Source organism: Homo sapiens, chromosome 14, assembly GCF_000001405.40.
Source record: "Homo sapiens chromosome 14, GRCh38.p14 Primary Assembly".
Classification (NCBI taxonomy): domain Eukaryota; kingdom Metazoa; phylum Chordata; class Mammalia; order Primates; family Hominidae; genus Homo; species Homo sapiens.
The window spans coordinates 100770156-100791273 of NC_000014.9; the positions used below are offsets into that span (position 1 = coordinate 100770156).

At 54.6% G+C, this 21118-nt stretch overlaps 2 annotated features.

The window, feature by feature from the left end:
• Nucleotides 1037–1331: an enhancer, noted in NCBI's record as "tiled region #10698; HepG2 Activating DNase matched - State 6:EnhF, and K562 Activating DNase unmatched - State 1:Tss". NCBI's record gives its function as "activates a minimal TATA promoter and a strong SV40 promoter by Sharpr-MPRA in HepG2 and K562 cells {active_cell/tissue: HepG2 | K562}" and the evidence as "EXISTENCE:reporter gene assay evidence [ECO:0000049][PMID:27701403]".
• Nucleotides 15142–15672: an enhancer, noted in NCBI's record as "H3K27ac-H3K4me1 hESC enhancer chr14:101251634-101252164 (GRCh37/hg19 assembly coordinates)". NCBI's record gives its function as "activates a minimal SCP1, AML or CMV promoter by ChIP-STARR-seq in naive H9 embryonic stem cells {active_cell/tissue: H9 hESC(naive)}" and the evidence as "EXISTENCE:reporter gene assay evidence [ECO:0000049][PMID:30033119]".

The following is a 21118-nucleotide window of genomic DNA, read 5'->3' on the forward strand; positions in this document are numbered from 1 at the left end:
TGGGGAAAAAGCAATCATTTCAGCCCTTTAATTTCCTTAAGCCTCCCTGTAAGGGCGGGTGTGCAAAGGCTTCTGGGGGTGGTTATGAGGTTGTCGTATTTTAATCACCCACGACTGGGCTTGCCAGGAGACACTGCAGACATTTCATAGAATTCTCAATCAGCCACTTTAAAAGCTCACCGAGAACTTTCTCTGGAAGTCCACCCAATTTTCCAGAGGGGAGGAAATTTCCATTCTCCTTGGTACCTTTGGATATGCTAATCCCAGGTAGCTTCAGAGTGGGGGTCCAGGACCTTCACTGGCTGGACCCTCACATTGGGGTCCAGGTTCCTCAGAGACCCTCTTAGCTCCCCAAGGGGTATATTTGCTTCACAGGTCCATGGGAAAACCACGAGAGGGCAGACGGGGGCTCTGGAGGTGGCTGAGAGCAAGAAGAAGGAAAGAACCTTCTAGAAGTTCCCACAGAAAGGAACAGGGGGCTTCAGAGTGGATGTGGGGTTGGGACAGGCACCTCTAAAGAGGGCCTATGTTCTCAGACATGGAAGGTGGGAGGAGTGGTCTGGGGACTGGGCAATGGCCCAGCAAGGTCACCATGGCAGCCCTGGGGCCCACTGAGAAGCACAGGCAAGGAAAGCAAGATTAGGATGAGTCCCTGGGGCCAGGTCTCACAGGGTCTTGGCAGCCTCTGTCCAGACCTGAGATTTGATTCCTGGGGTTTTAAGCAGAGGAGCGACAAGCTCTGATGGATGGTTCTTATAGGTGCACTGAGAGCTGGTAGGAGCTGGACTGTGAGAAGAGGGAGCCCCATGGCCTGGGCTGTGGCAGGAAGCGGCTGCTCAGCCAGGGTGGGTGAGGTTTGGTGGGAGGCAGTGAGGAGCCGCTAGACTTGAGAGTGGCCAGGCCCAGCCCTGTGGAGTTGCCGCGTTTGAAGGCAGTATTGGGGTGGAGGGTGCAAAAATTCCCCTCCACCCCTTCAAGGGTTTTTGGGTGAGAATTAAAGTGATACAAGACAGATCAGCAGGAGAAACGCACACAATTGACAGACCACACGACTCACAGGCATGGGAGCCTTCCTAAGGCCCGGAGGCGCAGTTACAGTTTGAACACGTAGGCACTGCCTGAGACAAAGAGCAGGACGCTTGAAAATGGGCCAAGGCCCAGGGGCCCAGGCTGGGGGCTGGCTGGGTGGAGAAGTGGCTGGGACGATGAGGATTAGTTTAACGAGGTTTGTTTGCACAGAGTTCCGTTGGCCCCAGCTTCCTGTCCTTGGAGATAAGAGTGGCAGTTTCCTTTCAGTATGGGGAGGACATCTTTCACATGGGAATTTCGTCTCCTGCTTTTGAGAAAGAAAATGAAGATCAGAGGGATCTTCTAGCACCTCTTGCTTTTCAGGTCCCTTTAACTCAAAATAATCAACATGCCAGAGTGGCATATTTTGGGGTGCAGATTCTTAATATTGGTAGACCCAACATTTGGGACGTAGAAGGAAAATGTTGTGGTGATGGATAGATGTGTGTGTGTGTGTGTGTGTGTGTGTGTTGGTATGCGTGTTTGAAGATGACCAGAATCCTCATGGAAAACAGCAAGTGTTAGGGACTTGACTGTAGAATGATTGGTGAGGTGTGTGTCGCAGGGAGGGTGGGTGATAAGATGACCCACAACAGCCAGGTGAGGTGGTGTGCAACTGTAGTCCTAGTTACTTGGGAGGCTGAGGTGGGAGGATTGCTTGAGCCCAGGAGTTTGAGTCCAGCCTGGGCAACATAGGGACCCTGTCTCTTAAAAAATAAAGATAAGAAAGATAACCTGCAAGGGTGTTGTAACGCCTGGAGATGAACAACAGCAGGAAGCTGTAATGCACACACACACACACACACACACACACCCCAAGGCCTGAAGGGGCAGGGGTATCCTAGAGTCCAGAGAGAGCTGGGGCCACAGTGAGGACAGAAGGGACCCAGCCACTGGCAGGACCAGGGCACCCAAGGAAAGGGAGCAGGGAAGAAATCCCAGCCTCCCTGTTCTCCCACTCTTCACTTGGAGCCTCTCTTGGCCAAAGCCAATGAACAGATGCCAGGAGCCCAGAGGACCTCGTGCCCGGGCCAGCCTCCAGGGCGCAGAGTGGGTGGTGCAGGGCCAAGCACAGAGGGGTCATTCTCTTATTTATCTGTGATTGTGCTTCGATCTTCTCTTTTCTTCTTTGATCAGCGCTCTTCACAGTGCCTCTCCGAAATGAAGAGCTTCTCTTGGGGCAGAAACCAACACGCTGCTCCCTTCTAGGAGAAAGTCTCACTCTGGGAGAAATGTTCACTGAGCCTCAAGGTGTGTTCCCAGACGGTCCCATGGATTTACACGCCGCCGGCACCAGGTGCTAAAGCAGCTCAGACCCCACTTTGAGGAGCTCTGTGTCCCTGGGAGGGAGAGCAGGTGTGTTGGGAGGCTGACCCACGTATTCCCTCCCTGCGGCCGTCCCTCCACAGAAGGCCACTGCTTCTGTGTGTGGCAGGGGGTGGGGGGCTCTCCACATACCTGTGGCCCTCTCAGCCCAGAACTGTTCCCTTTGCTGGCCCTTCCCACAGAACCCACGCCCTGTAACCGCCCAAGGCTTCCCCTACCCATGCCTTCCTAAACTGTCCCTTTAGTATTCGACTCTTGGAGTGTGCCTCTGCTTCCCACAGGCCCCTGAGCAATCCAACTACTGTCCTTTTGGATGAGGCTGTGGATGCTGAGAGAGGGGCTGTGGCTGGTGTGAGAGGGGAGGGGCAGCCCTGGTCAGGGGGTGAGGGATGGGAAGAGGCCAAGGAGAAGCGGCTGTGCAGACAGGGTGGCAGGTCTGGGGCTAAGGCAGGGTTCTGCTCTCCCTGTGACACAAGACACCCCAGGGAGGAGAAGGGGAGAGGAGAAGGTGAGACGCTGGCTGACAGAGTCCGCCAGGGAGAGCATCCTTCTAGGTCCATGGGGCCTGAAGAGACAGAGCAGAGGCTTGGGTTGTGTCTGGGCTCCGGGCCTGGCTGCCCGCTTCCCACACTGTCAGTCCTCTTTGAAAGGCCCTGGGATTAGGTTTGCCTGTTCAAACCACCCACCCTCCCATCCCTGGCAAGCTGAGCCCCAACTCTGGGGCCCCTGGAGGCAGCAGCCCAGCCAGCCCATTCTGCCAACACCATCTGGGCCCACTTAGGCCTGTGGTTGGGGCAGGGGGGCAGAGATGCCCTGGCCAGGCAGGGTTCCCAGCATGGGGGGCCGGGGGTGTCCCACAGCTGGAGGGCCGCCAGGGCTGGGCTCCACACGATGGCAGCATGTACGCACTGAAGCTCGCTGGGACCGCCTCGGCTGGGCTGGGACCCAGCACTGCCCTCGGCTCTCTGGCCCTGCTCCCCACTTTTGGAGGCGGCTGCTGCTGAGTCGTCCCAAGTGCTGTCTGGGAAACCTTTGCATCTCTCCTGGCCACCTGCTTCCCCTGGGGCCCATGAGGACCCCTCAGGCCCCAGGTCCTTCATGCGCAGCTCATCCACAGGGAGGGTCCTCCCAGGGTGGGCAGGGGCAGGGTGCAGGTGACTGGGGACCTCTGGTGCCTCCTCGCATGGGCTGGCATCCTCTCCACACCACGCAGAGCCTCTCCCAGCCCCTAGCTGGCCTGATCTTTCTCCTTTGGCCTGAGGGTGCTGGCAGGCGCTGCCCAAGGAGCAGGTGTTTCTCTGAGAGGGGTAGTGTGCTGGAAGGTGCAGTTTGGGGGGCCTGGCCCAGGAAAAATGGACAGATCCACCTGTAGGGCAGACAGGGAGGACCCAGACCCAGAGCTCCACCTGCAAGGTGAAAATAAAACCAGGCAGCCCTTCGCCCACCTGAGACAGTCTGGGCCCTTGGCTGGGTATGGGGTCCTGCCCTAGGTACTTCTCCACCTTCCTTCTCCCTGCCGGCTTCAGCATCTTCTCCTGTGCCCCAGACAATTGCACACTGTCCCCACTTTGTTTCTCTGCCTTCTGCTTTTCTGCTTCAAATGTTCTCTGCTGTGAACTTGGTCATACCCTACAAGACCCAGCGCCAAGGCCGGGAGCTGTGGCAGCCTTGGCCTCGGTGTCCCACTGCCCCAGGAGCTGTTGGAAGGAAGGCTCAGCCTCTGGGGGAGGCAGGGAGCTCTCCCCCGTGCCTGTGAGGTGTTCTAGGGGGCTTGGTGACTTCAGCTGAACAGTGGTCACAGCGCGGGCTGGTGGGTGGCAGGTGTAGGCTCCATGTCCCCAGTTGGCAGTGAGAGGGTGAGGAGGAAAGTGACGGGGCCCTGCAGGCTCCTTGCCTGTACCAGGAGAGGTTTCATTTATCTACAGCAGGGTGCTCAGAGAGGGTCGATTTTGCCCCCGGGGGACAGTAGGCAATGCCTGGAGACATATTTTTACATTTTAATTATTTAATTATTTTCTTAATTGAAAAATGTACTTTAATATTAATTTTTATTTTTTATTGACATATAATAATTGTACATGTATATGGGGTACATGTGGCTTTGTTTTATTTAGAGACAGGGTCTCACTATGTTGCCCAAGTTGCTTCAAGCCATCCTCCCGCCTCAGCCTCACAAAGTGCCGGGATTACCAGTGTGAACCACCGTGCCCAGCCCCTGCGATATTTTGATACAAGCATACAATGTGTGACGATCAAATCGGGATATTTAGGACCTCCATCACTTCAGACATGTATCATTTCTTTGTGTTGGGAACATTTCAACTCTTCTAGTTATTTTGAAATATACAGTAAATTACTGTTAACTATAGTCACCCTACTGTGTTATTATTGAACATTAGAACTCATTCCTTCCATCGAATTGGATTTCTGTGCCCATTAATTAAACTCCCTTCATCTCCCACCCTCATTCCCAGCCTCCTCTCTACCCCCATGAGACCCACTTTCGCAGCTCCCACATGGAAGTGAGAACATGCAGTATTTGTCTCTCTCTGCCTGGTTTATTTCACTTAATGTCCTCTGGTTCTATCCATGTTGCTGCAAAGGATAGGATTTCATTCTTTTTGTGGCTGAATATTATTCCACTGCATGTATATACCACATTTTCTTTATCCTTCATTTGCTGATGCACACTTAGGTTTGATCCATATGTTGGCCTTTGTGAATCTGCTGTAATAAACATGGGAGTGAGTCTATCTCTTTGATAGGCTGAGTTCCTTTAACTGGAGACATTTTTGATTGTCACAACTTGGGGCAGACATGGTGCTACCAACATCTGGTGAGCAGAGGCCAGGAACACTGCTAAGCATCGGCAGTGCACAGGCAGTCACCAGGGCAAAGAATGAGCCAGCCCCAAACGTCCACAGGTCTAGGACTGGAGGCTGGGAGAGGGGGGAGAGGGTTGTCCCAGGCTTCCCAGCAGGTACGTGGGAGTCTTTCCGAGGACCTTTCCTGTGCTCAGAGCCTCTTTTTCCTCTTCAGAGTCCAATCTCAAGAACCAAAGACCTGAACTGCAGACGAAGCTTCCTTCCCACCTCCTGGGCTTTGAGGAGCCTGCATTCCCTGCCCACTCTTCTCCTGCTGTGCCCACAGCAGGGCTGGTGAGCACGATGGGAGGGCACCTGGGTCCCCACCCGCTGGTACAGCTCCTGCGACTTCTCTGGGCTCAGTTTCCCTCTCCATAGGGGGAAATGGCCAGGGTCAAGACCCTGGAGCTGGGCTCCTGCCAGCCCTGTTGCCAGGCTATAATGGCAGATGTCAGTCTGGGTGGAGGCAGTCCGTCACGCTCAGGCCCACGCAGGCACTGACATCAGCTCCCAGCCATGGGAGACATGTGCACTGTTGATCCGGGGGCCCCTCGCAGGAATGAGCGCTGTGAGTCCCGCCTGCCTTATTGATAACTACCAAGCATAAACAAGACGCCTGGAATGTTTAAATGACCGGGCCAGTCTGTTCCAGAAGATGCCTTACATATATCAAGGCTATTTTAGGGTGCGGCAGGCCCGGCAAGAGGAGGGTGAGGGGCTCTGTGCTGATCTGGTTACGACCATGTGCAGGGACAGTGAATGCCAGCGTATCTGTCCAGTGACCTCACAGGAGTGGCAGACGGCTCATGACCCCTGTGCAAAGTGTCCGTGCTGGAGGCCCAGGACAGGAATGGCGGGAATGGGTGGGAGGAAGGGAAGTGGCGACTGGCAGAGGAAGGCCTGGGCTCTTAGGGGCTGTTTGGCAATCCCTCTTGAGCTGAGCATGCCCACCCTGAGAGCCAAACCCACCAGCTAGGGGAAGGACACCCAGACAGCCTCGGGGGGCTCAGGCTTGGGGGAATGAGAAGCAGGAGGGAGAGGGGTACAGGACCTTGCCTGCAGGAGTTCCCAGGGACAGGCTGCTTCCTGGCCAGGGGCCTGGCTTAGGTACCTCGCTCTCTGCTGCTTCTTAGTGACAGCAAAAAGGAGGAGGAAAACGCTGATCCTCTGGTGGGTTCTGGGAGGAGGCTATGTTTGAGAATATTTTCATGGGGTGGTGTCAGTGCCGCAGGAGTTCTGGCCCTGGTGTGTGCCACCTCCCCCCCCGGCCCACACACAGGTTCTGAGCTTCCTGGAGCCTGCCCCAGCCCCTCCTGCACCTGCCTCTGTCCCCGCTTCGGCTCTCCTTCTCACTGGGACGCTCCCACTTTCCCCCTCTTACAAAGAGACTAGGCCCAAATGAGGCTGGCCAGCCTCTCCCATGCCCAGCCCCTGTGCCAAGGACTTGTGCTGGGGTTGGGGTCCCAGATGAGAAGGCTCCCCCCACCGTGGGCTGGAGGAGGCCCCTGGAGAGGCTGCAGAGCTGGCTCATTCCTGTGTGGGGGTAGGACGGACGGGACATCAGGTATGACAGGCATACCCAGAGGTAGGCTGGGGGTCCTGAGGCAGACAAGGCTCATCCTGACCTCCGAAATGTCCGTGTCCCTTCATCCTCTTTCCTGCAGGATTTCAGTTTTCCTAAGGGCTCCACGGGGAAGGCTGGCAGGGCAGCAGCATGGAGGACTCCTTGCCATTTTATAGGCTCCTCGTCCCTATGGAGGGGCAGTGTGGACATGGGGTCAGCAGTGTTCAAACGGTGATCCCGGGGCTGACACTTCAGCGGCCCTCGTGTTGGGGGGTCAGGGCTTGTGGGGGCCCTTCCTGCCTTTCCTGGCATGGCCTTTCTTTCCCATGCTGCCTGGGCTGCCTGGTGGTGTCTTCTTTCCCAACAAAGTGGTCCTGATTTTTTCATTTCTCCGCATGACCTGCTGTCCTTCCCTCTCTTCTATCTCAGAGTGCCAAATGGGCCATTTTCCTCTTCCCCAGCAAGCAGGGCCTGGAAGGGGTGGAACTAAGGCAAGGCTGTGCAGGTCTGGCCCCTTCCTTACCCTATTCCTGCCGCCCAGAGTGGAGCAGCTCTCTCCACGGAGCCGTGCCCCCAGGACCACCCGAAACTCACTGCTCCTAAAAACACCGGTGCTCCATGCACCCACCACGCTGCCCTGGAAGGCTTGCATTTCCCCCTCAATTTTTTTTTCTTTGCTTCCAAAGCACTTTGGGTCACCCCAACAGTGTCCTGCTGTGTTCCCTGTGTGGGCAGGGCATGGGGAGAATGAGAGGATTGGACTCCGTGTCTGTTTTCCACCCTGGAGATGCAATCAATTAGGGAAGCAGCTCAGAGCGTGGTCACTCGTCCCCAACACGAAGGCTGAGCCTCTTCTCCACCCAGAGACATAGCTGGGGCCCGTTTTCATCTATTTTAATTTGGTTGACAGACATCAGACCTAAAACAGACCTGCCGTTGGGAGAGGAAAATTCCTAAATGTTTTAATTTGCTCCATCCGACTCGAGCCAAAGAAGCCATGGGCTTACTTTTTCCACCTCCCGCCCCCCTGGAAGAGAGCGTATGTTCAAGTTCATCTCCGATACAGATCACCGCCTGCTCTCGGCGGCCCTTGGAATGGCCTTGCTCAGCACATAAAAAAAAAGATCCTGACATTCTCTCTGTCCTCTTGACTCTTCCCAAAGTAGCATCTCTCTGTGGGCAGTATTGCCTTGTAAGGCAGGCAGTAGGCATGAGCCAATGAGTGTGCGGTCAGATCCTGGAGGACAGGGACAGGGACAGTCATAAACGGCACCGGGGATTAGCTGTGGCTCGCCGAGCGTTTGGGAGTGGGGAGGAATGAGGAGATGGCGCCAAAGGAGGGAGAGGTGTTGGTGTGCTTTTCGAATGCCAGAACTATAATTAAGGGGTGAGAAGATTCATGCTAACCCGTAACCAAGGCTGCAAGAGAAATCATGAAATCCAATAGCCCCAGGAGTCCGGATTTGGAATTGCATGTGGCACTAGCTTTGAAGCCTATTTCAGAGTTCAGCACATTTATCACGGGGTGCTCAGGCTCTGACAGCGTCAGGTGGCGAGTGGCCGTCTCGTGGTGCCCAAAGTAGCTCTCACTCTCTCTCAAGCCACCTGTTTCGGGACTATCTCAAAAGACTTGAAGGGGCTTTCCAGAGAGCCCTGTGTGCATGGGTGTGTGGGTGGATGGGGGGACTCATCCGGACAGAGGGCTTTCCAAGGGCATGGGCCTGGGGTACAGAGGAAGTTTCTAGGAGAGCCGACTGACATGGAGAAAACTTCTGTTCAGTTGAGCCCAGGGCTTGAGGGCAGTGGGTGCTCTCGTCCCTGGCCATGGGTTTGAAATGTGGTTTCCAAGTGGCATAAACTCAGGTCACTGCAGAATCTGGTGAAAGGTACCTGGAGGCTCATTCCTCCTTCTCCCTGCCTGTGTATGTGCTGCGCATGTTTCTGTATTATTAAAAGCAGTAAATAAAAAGGTTGGCCCTGTCTTCTCAACCCACGTGGATGTCCACAGCTACCCTCGGAACACAGGGAGTCGGGCCTCCCGCTCCTCCCTCCCTCTCCTACCACAGTCTCCGAGAGAGACGATTCCTGGAGGATCCACACAGACACACTCGGTTGTGGCCAAGCCATGTGGTCATGCTGTTGCCACAGGCATTGGCCAAAATCCTTTCTTAGAAAGCCCGGGGCTTGGTGTTCCCCCTGCCATGGGAGGGTGTGGCCCTACCCAGCACAGTGGCTCCGCTGCTCGCTTCCAGCTTGTTTCTGAGGGAAATGGGGTCCTGGTCCCCCCCTGGAAGGCCAGAGCAGGAACCCACCCGAGAGGGTCTCGTGCTTTTTAATGACTCCACATTGGTCAGCAGATGCTCAGCCAAGTCGGATGAGACCGGGTTCTGCCTTGGTGTCCGTGTTGCTAGCTGGGGCAGGCAAAGGCATGAACTTGCAAAGTCTCGGCTTAGTTCCTGGCACTCTGAGGTCCACCTCCTTCCTGAGGCTGGTGGTTACCGTGCTAATGAGCTAGGCCGCAGCGGCTATTAGACATGGCTGCGTGGGGTGTCCTGCCAGCCCAGCCCCGTCACCACGGGCTGCCTCGAGCAGCTCCCCCAGCACCAGGCACTCCAGATGCTGAGCAGCAGAGTCTGCCCATGAAGGATGGATGCACTACCCCTGCCTCCATATTCAGGGGTCTCAGGCAAGGAGCCCGTCCTCACTACACCACACATGGAGGGCATGAGGCTGGACCACACCAGAACGTCCCTCCCCCCGGAGCCTGGAGCTGCAGGTCTTGATGCGGAGAGGTTTCCATCTGGTAAGTTTGCGCCGTGCCTTCTTTTCCCTGGCCTTTGCCTCTGCCGGCCTCAAGTTCCCCTTGCACCATCCACCCGAGGCCTGCTCCGGGCTGCGCCCACTCCCTGCACTGTGCCGCTCTGGGCGCCGTTGCCAGGGCAGCCACCCTCCCTCCCAAGCTGCCTCTCCAAAGGAGCAGTGGCCAGCCCCTCTGCAGCCCACCCAAGTCCTCCCTAGGCTTTCCTTTGGAAGTCAGAGATTCTGGGCTCAAAAAGTACTCACTGCATCAGAGGCGTTTCCAGCAAGAAGGCACCACTTTGCAGAAGGCCACGTGACCAACTTCCAGCACCTTCTCCCGCTGCTCCTCACGACTCCTCCTGGGAGCAGCCTCCCTGTCCTCATCCTCAGCCAGACCCTTTCAGAGGGGCTGCTGTGTGTTTCAGTGGGTTTTCTCTTCTCTTCTCCTGTTTCCTTTCTTCTTTTATTGAGGCATAATAGACATATGGAAAAACACACATATTATAAAGGCACCAACTGGTGAACTGTCAGAAAATGAACACACCTGTGCCATGCACCCCGATGCAGACACCGGGGACCCCAGCACCTGGCAGCTCCCTCCTGCTCCTTCCATCACTGCCGCCCCACCCTGAGGGTGACCCCCATTCTGATGTCTGATGCAGAACCAGTCAGACCCACAGCTGGGCTCCGCTTGTGCATATTCCTGCTATAAGTGGAGTCGTGTCGTGGGGGAGTGGATGCGGTGCCCTCAGACTCGTCACTCCATGGTGACCTGCCGTGGGACCACGCCAGGGTGCATTTCTCCTTTCTCCTCCGACAGATGTATGGGTTGTCAATGGGGACCCAGCTTTATAAAGGACGAAACTGAGGCTCAGTCCATCCAACCTCAAAGTCTTTACCCCTCTGCCTAACAAACAAGTGGAAGATCAGGAACACGGGGTGCCACCAGCCCAGCACATGAGTCCTGTTCTTGATGACATGAGAGATCCCAAGAATCAGGGACCTGCTGATTCGTGTGTGGCCCAGGCCTGGGAGTGCTGCCCCTCAGGACTTACTACCAGAGCTCTGGGCTGCTCTCCCACTGCCCAGAGCACATGGCCCTGGGGGGCTGCTCAGAGGACCTCCAGGGGGTCTAGTCTCCCCTCTGGGGTTGCACCTGCCCCCTCCCCTTGGGAGATTCAGTGGGGTAGAGATGGCAAATTCTGGGGGGCTGGAAGTAACAGAAACAGGGAAGACCACGTGGAAGTTGCAGTGGCAGGGGCCAGCAAAGAGCCAAGCATTCCTTCCTTCCTTCATTAGTTCACCAGATATTTACAGAGTGTTGTCCTGTTGCCAGGCGTCTCCAGGCCTGTGCAGGAAAAGACAGAACAGGTTCCAGCCCTGGAAAGGTGCTGAGCAGGCACAAACGGGTGGGGACCAGAGAGCAAATTGGGCAGCAACAAGGACCTCGACGAAGGGGGAGGCTGCACCCAGAGGGGAGGGTGTGAGGCTGGGGGCGGAGGGGGTCAGTGGCACGCGGAACCCCTGCAGGACAAGGCCTCCAAGGAGGGCTGCGGAGGAGTGTGCTGAGGGCGTTTGGAGCCAATTGAACTTTTTTTCTTTTAGGATTTTATTTATTTATTTATTTTTAGACAGAGTCTTGTTCTGTCGCCCAGGCTGGAGTGCGGTGGCGTGATCTCAGCTCACTGCAACCTCCACCTCCTGGGTTCAAGCAATTCTCCTGTCTCAGCCTCCCGAGTAGCTGGGATTACGGGCTCCAGTCACCAAGACTGGCTAATTTTTGTATTTTTAGTAGAAACGGGGTTTCCCCATGTTGGCCAGGCTGGTCTCGAACTCCTGACCTCAGGTGATCCGCCCGCCTTGGCATCCCAAAGTGCTGGGATTACAGGCATGAGCCATGGCACCCAGCATTCTTTCAGGATTTTAAAAAATAGTTGTAAAATATACGTAACAGAAAATCTGCCATTTTGACCATTTTCAAGTGTACGGTTCAGTGGCGCTAAGTATATTCACATTGTTGTACCAACCATCACCGCCATTTGTCTTTAAAACCTTTTCATTATCCCAAACAGAAACTCTGCCCCCATTGAACACCCCTCCTCCCCCAGCCCCTGGCAAGCACCATTCAGCTTTCTGTCTCTGTGAATGTGACTGCTCCAGGTCCCTCATATATGTGGAATCGTAGTGTTTGGCCTTTTGTGACTGGCTTATTTCACTCTACATCGTGTCCTCATCGTTCATCCATAAAGTTAGCCGGGTGTGGTGGTGCATGCCTGTGGCCCCAGCTACTCAGAGGCTGAGGCAGGAGGATTGCTTGAGCCCAGGAGGTGGAGGCTGCAGTGAGCCTCGATCACGCCACTGCACTTCAGCCTGGGTGACAGAGTGAGGCCCCAACTCAAACAAACAAACAAACAAACAAACAAAAAACTGCTCATCCATGAAGTAGCATGAAGTAGCATGTGTCAACATTTTCTTCCTCTTTAAGGCTGAATGACACTCTCTTGTATGGATTTCCCACATTTTGTTTGTGGGTGGACGAGGTTTGATTCCACGTTTGGGCTATTGTGAATGATGCTGCTGTGACCACGGCTGTGCAAGTATCTGTGTAAGTCTCTGCTTTCAGTCCTTTTGGGTGTATTCCTGGAAGTGGAATTGCTGGGCCACCTGAGCATTTTAAAGCCAGAAGTTTCATGCCCAAGTTTGCATTTCAGAAAGCCCATTTAGGGGCCTATTTGGAGGGTGGGCTGGAGGAATGATGCTGGAGGCAAGGTCCCCTGGTGGGGGTGAGGCCCTGGTAAGAGACAATGAGGCTTGGACTAGGCCAGGGAAATGGGTGGGAAGGTGACACAGGAATGGGGGTCTTTTTCTGAGCCGGCCTGGTAACTCGTTGGCTGTGGACAGTAAGGAGATGAGAGGGTGGAAATGGCCCAGTTGCAGCTGGGAGGGCTGAGGCTGCTAATGACACCATTATCCCAGTTGCAGGGTCCAGGGTTTCCCTCTCGGGCATGGAGGAAGGGGGAGATAATGAGTTCAATTTGGCTGATTTAATCATTTTTTCCTTCATGAATTCAACAAACATTGCTGGAGGGCCCATTATGTACTAAGCGCTGTGCTGGGTGCCCCACACATAGCCGAGGGAGAGAGGCAGCTGCCCCCACTCCTGTGCAAGCTGCAGCCACTATGCAAACACACGCTTCGTTTCAGATGCATTGAGATAAGGGGAGCATCAGGGCAGGGCTCTGAGTGCTGTGGGCACCCAGAGGGGCTGCAGGCACCAGGGGAGGGACAGACAGGTTTCCAAGGAAAGTGAGGGGCCGGATAGGGGTTTGTGGGGCTGGCAGAGGTGGGCCACTGAGGCCTGGAAGGACCATTCTAAGCCTCAAAGGCCAGGGACGGACATGGAGGGGCTGGAGCCCGTGAGAGGCAGGATCGGGGAGAAAGAGGGTCAGGAGAAAGGCAGGGTGGAGGCCCTGGGGCCTCACAGCAGGGCTGAGGGTTTGCAAGGGAGCGAGGTAACAGGGAACCACGGATGGTTCAGGAGAGAATGTTGTCACTTTGGGCAGACACCTGAACTGGGGTCCAGTTAGGGAGGTGAGGGGGTGGACCCAGGCCACAGCAGAGGAGGACAGGAGGAGTGGGGGAAGGAGAGCCCCCAGAAGCTCTCTGGGCTCAGCAGCACAGATCAAGGTAGATTAAGGGACCTTCTATTCCCACTACTTCCCCTTGAAAGACTCAAGGAGGTGGGCCTCTGGCCTGCTCATGCCCCTGCCTGCACCCCAAGGTGAGGGCCCTGTGTGGGAGAGAAGGCCCGACAGGAAGCCCCAGTCTATCCGCCATGCCTGGGGCTGGGGCAGAGCCGTGACCACAGTAGAAAGGCCTGTATCATTCCTCCAAAAGCTGTGCCAGGGCTAGGATTTCGGGCTCTTGGGGAGGGACAGCAGAGCAGGCTTGAGAGAGTGTGGTTGAGGAGGGGAGCTGGGGTGGCGACCCATGAATTAGGGTCCATTGACCCGGAGGTCGAGGCTTCCAGAGCGGGCCAGCCGGCAGCCCCAACGTGTGAGGCTGTGCACCTGCTGGGGAGGGTTTTTTTGATGGCGACGGCGTGAGGTGAGCGGGTTTGCTCTGGGCGGTCGAGGATTAGCGCCGACTGAGAGGGTCAGGTGCACCGGGGCTTTGTTCAGACCTGTTTGCCTTTTGTCCCCCGCCTGCAGAAAGCCCAGGCTGCATGATGTCATTTCGGATGCATTAAGCTGGAACAGCTCAAAATTGAATAATTAATTACACTCAGCTTCAATCGCAGTGACTAATTGATCAGGGGCTGCCAGCAGACACCTGGACAGGATTAACTGTGCACAATGAGGGCTGCGGGCAGGTGGTGGCCCCTCTGGACCCCCAGTCCCTGTGTGTGACTTAATTAAGGCTGACTTGATTTCTCTATCCTCACTGGAGATCTCAGGCAGGCCCCATCCAGGCCCAGGGGCTACGTGCGGGCTAGGCACCGAGTGTGGACACGTGCAAACGGCTGCGATCTGGAAGGATGCTAGCCCCTGACCACTGGGCCATCCTGTTCTAGGCCCAGATCCCAATGCTGCCTCCAACTATGATTATTTCTGTGGCCTTGGGCAAGTGTTTAATCTCATGGAGCCTTAGTCTCCTTGTCTGTCAAATGGGGGTTGTCATTGTTGTGTCCAGAGCTGTGTTCGGCCCTGGGTGTAAACTGCTTTTGTCACTGGGATTTTTGGTTCCCTCTGGGGAGGCTGTCCTTGTTCTCACCTCCCTTGCTTGTCTCTGGCTGGAGCAGCTGGCATTCCCAGACCTGTCCACCAGCCCTGACGCTCCTTATTTATTCCCTGGAGCCACCTTTCTGTGTACACAGCAGCATTTGGGGGCCTGACTTACAATCCTGCTCTCTCAACGCACAGCCATCATGCTGGGGGATTCACAAGCACATGGATGGCACATCCAGCTCCTGAAAGGGCCAGCAAGTACAGTTGCGCATGTTGTGCACTGCACAATTCAGACTTTGCTGTGAGTGGTATAATGTGCAACTACACAATGGGGCATACCAGCCTTATTGTCACATTGCAGAGTCTCTTTTCTGTCTGCCTCCTCACTGTTTCCTGGTCTTCTGGAGTTCAGTAACCTCTGTCTCCATGTCTCCTCAACCCCACTCCTGGAGTCATATCACAGGGGGAACTGTCATGTGGAAATGGCAAACCCCAACGCCTTCTGCCCTGCCGGCTCCCAGCACATCTGCCAGTGGGTGTGGAGAGCACTTGTCTCTTTGTTTCTGCTCTCCCCATTCCCTGCCCATCTGGTGGCTCCTCTTCCTTGGTCTGCAGACACACTTGAGACTCTCCCCTGCTGGCATGCAAGCACCCTGGGGTGACTCGGGCTGCCCCTCCCAGCCTCGTCTCTCAAGTGGGTCTCCACTGACCCAACTCTACTTCATATCAAATGCACTTCGCCCCCTGCCTTCTGCTCCCCTGCAGAATCCCACGGCACGGCATTCTCCCCGTGACCAATCCAAGGGGCACTCTCTGTCCTCATCACACTGCAGAGTCTGCAGCCTTGATCGCTGCGGCCTCTCTGGCCCCTCCGCATCCTTGGAGCTCCCTCCTTCCTGACTCTGCCCAGCAGTCTCCTTGCTGTCCCTCTGCTTCATGTCCCTGGGCACTGTGCCCTGTACCCCTTTAACTGTTGCAATCACCCGGGTCTCCAGCCTTGGCCTTTGGCTCTTCCCAGCTGAGCAGCCACACAGACAACCATGATGAGCCCATTTTGTTTCTTGCCTGTTCTTTGTCTTTTTCCTCTAGAAAATGAGGCAGTCATCTTTTGCTCTCCTAAGTGGAGCAGACTAAAATGAGCCAACAGGCCCCCCATTGGCATGTGGGTGAGGGGCCTCAGCCATGATGGAGGAGGACTGTGTGGTGACTGAGCAGTGAGGGCTTGAGCTCCCAGATGCATGGCCCCAGGACCTTCCTCAACCTCCTCCTGAGCCTTCCTTGGAGCACGGCGAGTCCCTGGCGCTCCTGGGCCTGCCATTCCCTTGTTCTTCCCTGTTCTTGCCTTTGCATCTGGCACATTTGCCAGCCTTATGATCCCAGCACTGGCGTGTCCTGTCCATTGGAGCACAGGGCTGTGCCAAGTCCCCGCAGATGAAGTCACTCAGAACTCAGGTCCCTTCTCAGCCACTTGGGCCTAAGGTGCCCTGTGTCCTGGCGCCATAGTGCCAAGGTTCGAATCCTCCGCTGGTCTCGGCCATTGTGCAGTGCAGGGAGTATGTTGGTACAACTTCCCCTTGCTTTTTTGGCAAAATTTAGAGGTGGCTGAATGTGAATTTCTTAAGACAGAGGTGGGAGGAGACCAAAGAAAGTGTGCCCTCCTTCAACTCTCTGTCTCCGTCACAACTGGACGCTGCTCTGGATCGTGGGATGAGAGGAAACAGGAAGGGGCAGGCATCCTCCTCTTCCCAGACAATGGGGCCCATTATCCCTCCGGGGGGACGTTCGGAGGCATCTGGCCCTGCTGTCCACCCACTTCCAAAGAAGGGAGGAGCTCGGCCAGTCTAACCAGAAGCTGTCACTGGCTGATGTCCTCCCTGGTGCCCAGCCAGCCCAGAGAGGGGCCGCTGAGCCCCGAGTCTGTGTCCTGCATGCCAGGGATGTGGGATGGGGGACCTCCAAGCATCCAGTGGCAGTGCCCCCGGGCATGAGACCGGAGCCACAGGGTAGATAGGGTGTATTTCCCCAGAGCCATGATTTTATCCAAACGTAAGGAATTTCTTGTAAATCTTTATTTTTGATGTGACAGAAGTGACTTCTTGTCACAGATTCAAATACAGAAGAATGTATGCTCCCCACCAAAATAATCACTGTTAACTGGTTGCTGTGGCTCCTTCCAAATATTTTTAGGCATATACAGCCATTTAAATAAATATGTACATATGCACATTTTTTTAAACAGATGGAATCATCCCCCCCGCCCCACACACACACACGGTTCTTCAACTTGCCTTTGCTTTTGGCGAGGCGCTCACTCCTCCCCGTGCCCATACACGCCGTTCCACTTCTCCCTGTCTATCAGCAGGATAGTGAATAGTATTCCTTAAATGGGTGTCACCACGGTTCATCCAGCCATTTTTCTAATGATGGACACAGAGGTCACTGCAATTTTTTATAATTACAAATAGTGCTGGAAGAAAAAAGCCCCAAACACCTCATCCATTTTAGCCGAACTCAGCAAAAGGGCATTTGAAATGTTGCATCTGAAAGGTTACACCAATCTACACCCTCAATAATGGCATGTGATTTAAAAAATTATACTGAAACTAGTGAGGCTGCAGAATGGCACAGGAAGCAAAGCCCACATGTTTTTTGAACATAATATCAGATGCAGAGGGAGGCACGCTGTCACTTTCCTTCTCCGTGGCCCTTTGAGGCCCTTTGAGGGGAGTGGAGCCCTGCTCCATGGTGTAATAATTCTTGGAGTGGCTGTGACCACCCATCCGTCTGTCAGAGCGTCCTGCCTGACCCATCTGACTTCTCATTTATCACCCCATTGGGCGGAGTTGACCCCACTGGGGGTTTATGCATTTCTTAAAAGACCCCTTTCAAGTGAGGTAACTGTAAAGTGCCTGAGGTTTTGGGAGATGGGGACTCGTCAACAAAACCCCATTTCCAAGGGGAAATCTCCTAACTCTCCCGAAAAGAGACCAAAACTTTCCCCCACATTTCTTCCCCGTCCCTGAGGCATGACCTTCTGGGTGGCAGGATTGCAGGGTGTCCTAGCTTTTCCAAAACCTCTCTCTTTAGAAGCGTCTGGCTTTTGGAACCCAGAACCATCAAGGGAGACAGGAAGAATGTTTGCAATTCTTCAGTTGCCGGACCCCATCGCAAAGCTTCCCCCAGGCCCTAGGAGAGGGAGCTGGTATGGCCAGCCGCCTGCCGGGCCGGGCCCACCATCTTTGCTCTCTTGCCATTCTCAGAGCCTTTAAAACTACAGACTCTGCTTCAAGCAAAGAGTCACTGGGCCCCCGGCCCTGGACTACGCCATTCAGAAGTCAAAGGTCATTCTAACGCCTTTCCTGCAGTTTTGGGCTGGCTTAGCGGGGTGAAGATCCGGAGGCAGTGCCCCGCATGACAGCGGAGGGTTCAGCACCCCTCCCGCAGCCCTGCAAGCCCCAAGAATGCACCTCCTCCAGGACGCAGCACTTAGCTTCCATTTCCTAATGCAAGTCTCTGCCTCAGTTTCCCCATCTGCAAAGCAGAGCTGAGAACCTGTTTCACTCACCCCAACGCCTGCACGAGCTAGGCTCTGGGGCTGACTCTCGGTGTCTCCTTTTCTAATTGTTTGTCCCCACTGTGACTTGAATGAGAGCAGAGTGTGTCTCGGAGTCCTCTCATCCCAGCAACCCCAATACTTAATAGTGCCCTCAGCCCAGTCACTCTTTGTAAAGGAATAAACGGGTGAATCCCAGGACCTACTACCCACCTTATAGTCTTGAGTAACATCCAGTCTGTGCCTGACCCATGGAGAATACCCAGTAAATGGTCAGCCCCTAGAGCTATCCGCAAACACAAATCCTTCACGACTCTCACTGAATGGGGGTGCACGGGAGTTCCCCATTAATTGACATGGAAGAAACATTTTTTTACTAATTTTGCACAAAGTTGGGTGTGCATGGGAGGGGCACCCTCTCTCTCTCTCGGCCTTCACAGCACCCACCGCCCTGTGCAAGCTCAGTCTGGCCCAGGATCCAACCTTCTTATGTATTTATTTAAACCCTGCCTCATTCCGGAGAGAATTTAAGGCCTCACCATGAATACCATCTTTGTGTGGCCTTCCAGCGCCAAAGGCCAGGAAACCCAGGCCAGGCACGTCTGGAGGTGGGGCCCCCCTGTGGCCTCAAGGCCTGGGCCAATCCTGCCTGGCGGCCTGTCCCCATTTCCTGCCATCTGTGGGGAGAGGCCTCCCCAGCCGGCTACCTCCCGCTGTCCTCTGACTCTCCCCCTGCAGGGCCACCCAGACCTTGCTCTGAGGCTCTCCCGATCCTGGAACAAGCAGATCTTGCCAAGTTCCTGTATTGGAAGATAAATCATATTGAAATTCTCTTTAAAACCCATAGATGAAGCAGCACCTTGGTGTTCGTGTATTTGCGCACACAGAGCTGCCCTCCCGTGATGGTGCTGGGAGACCAGCAGCCTGCAAGAGAGAGGGTTTGGGGGAGGACTTCCTGTCCAGAGCTCCATGCATGTCTCAGGTCACTGGAGGGAGGGCATAGCCCCGTCCTCACCTAGCACAGGGCGGGGCAAGGCCGGGAATGTCTGTACTGTGGGTCTCTGCCTAAAATCTGTCCCTGGTTCCTGGAAGGCATCACTTGATCTGGGACGGCCACCCCTCCCAACTCATCAAGATGTTACATCACCCTAACCTCTTGGCTGCCCCCTGGAATCCAGAGGATGGCTTTGAAGTCTAAGGGATATCTGGGGCTGATGAATTCAGAGGCCTCTTAAGTAGGGCTTGGGGTGCACATCCAGGATTAGGCCATCTCCTCAAATTTAACGGCAGGTTTGAATGCAGATGTTTCTGTAGTGAGGTTGAGCATAGCTCCAGAAAGCTGTGGCCACGGAGGACTTCTGCAGGGTGGTGTCAGGAGCCTGAGTGGCCTGTACTCAGGGGAGGCCCTCATCCCAGATGGATGAAGGGGCCGTGAGCTCAGGAAAGACTGAGTGGCCTTCCCTTCCGTGCGTGGTCTCAAATCCCTGAAATGCTTTGACTCCCAGGCCTGCAGCCCTCCAGGAGAATTGTTCAGACTTCAAAGACTTGTTTCAAATGGAAAGAAAACCTCCGCAGACCATGGGGCTCAGGAAACTTCTCCTAAAGATCTCTTGCACCCCTGAAGCTTCTGATTGAAGAATGGGAAGAAGTCTGCAAAAACCAGAGTTGCTGTTGAGCCTGGTGCTGGTCAGTTATTAATAAAAAGACCAATAAATGTAGGTCCCACATGGAGGCAAAGCTGAAACCAGACTGCAGGCACTTAAACATTCCGGTCTGCACAGGCTCTGTCCTCCTCCCAGTGGCGCCTGCTCCACTTGTGGCTGGGGGACATTTGGGTGGTCCTACCACCTGTTGGAAGTGCTCAGATGCCTGGAACCAAACCAGGTCCTGAACATAGGTTGGGACGTGGCACTTCATGTTGGTGCCACCCTTGACTGTCTGCTAGGGAGGTAGCCTGGGCATAGGATTTGAAAGGTGAACATTTCTGAACCTCCCAAAAAGATATGCTGTGAATTTCAGACAAAAACAGACCTGAATTCAAAGACTGTGGGCTCAAGCTGTCTCCTCTGGCCCTTGGCATTCTCTTCCCACGGGTGGCTAAAAGCATTCAGGATGACGCATGTCAAAGCAGTCTGCACATGGCTGCTCGCTGCTGATGCGCACACAGTCCTGCAGGCCAAGGCCCTGCCCTCGGCTCCTACCACCCCTGCCTGAGAACCAGGACAAATGAGATCCTGTTAAGAAACTGCAGATTGATGATGTTTGTCCAAATTGTTGCAGGAAGGCAGGTTACAGCCATCAGGCTTTCCAGACAGGGGATCAGCTAGTTGGCCAGCTTCTATGGTCTAACAGAGGCAACCACTTTAGAGAAACCTTTCAGGGTGGTCCAGAGGTTACAGGCATGGACAGAAGGTCAGAAAGTGTCCACAGGACCTGGGCTTCAAGCCGCCAGAGTTTCTTCAGGGGTAGGAGTTGTCAGGTGAAGACCCTATCCTCCTCCATCTGCTGCCTAGCAGGAAATGGAAGAGGGTCTTGGGGTGGGCTGAGGAGCACAGGCAGGGCAGGAGGGATACTCCAGTGGTCCTGGCCATGTGCTAAATGTGCATGAATTTCTGACACCTAAAATAGCCCCGGACACGGGACACAGTGCCAGGAAGCTCCTGTTCAACATCTCAGCAACTGGTAGCTTCAGGGCTGAGAATAAGAAACCATCATTTGCAGTTTCTATAGCCCTAGAGGGGACAAACATGATTCCAGATTGAGACACTGGGAGAAATTGTAATAAATCTGGTCATTACTGGTTGTGTGAACTTGAGTGTGCTATTTCTTAGCTCTGTGTCTCTGTCTCCTTAGCTGTGAAACAAGGACAGCGAGCTCTCTTGTAGGATTCCTGTAAGAATCGGCCACAACAGACTGCGCAGTCTGCAATCAGCAGAAGTTGCGCCCTGCCTCCCACCAGATAAAGGCCCTGCCCGGCCCCCTGATCCCCAAGTCTGAAAATGATGAATCATGTACTCCGCTAGGAAATGCAGGCAGCCGTGGCTCTGTCCTGTGTGCGTCAGCTGGCTTTAGGCAGAAGAAAATTGCAGGCTTCAGAGGATATTGTGAATTTGCTCATAGCGGAATTCCGGGTATTCTGTGTCGATGGAAGAATTAAGTCCTGTCTGTGGGATTTTTGGAATGAGGAAGATGGCAAATAATTAAGGCACTTAATTGG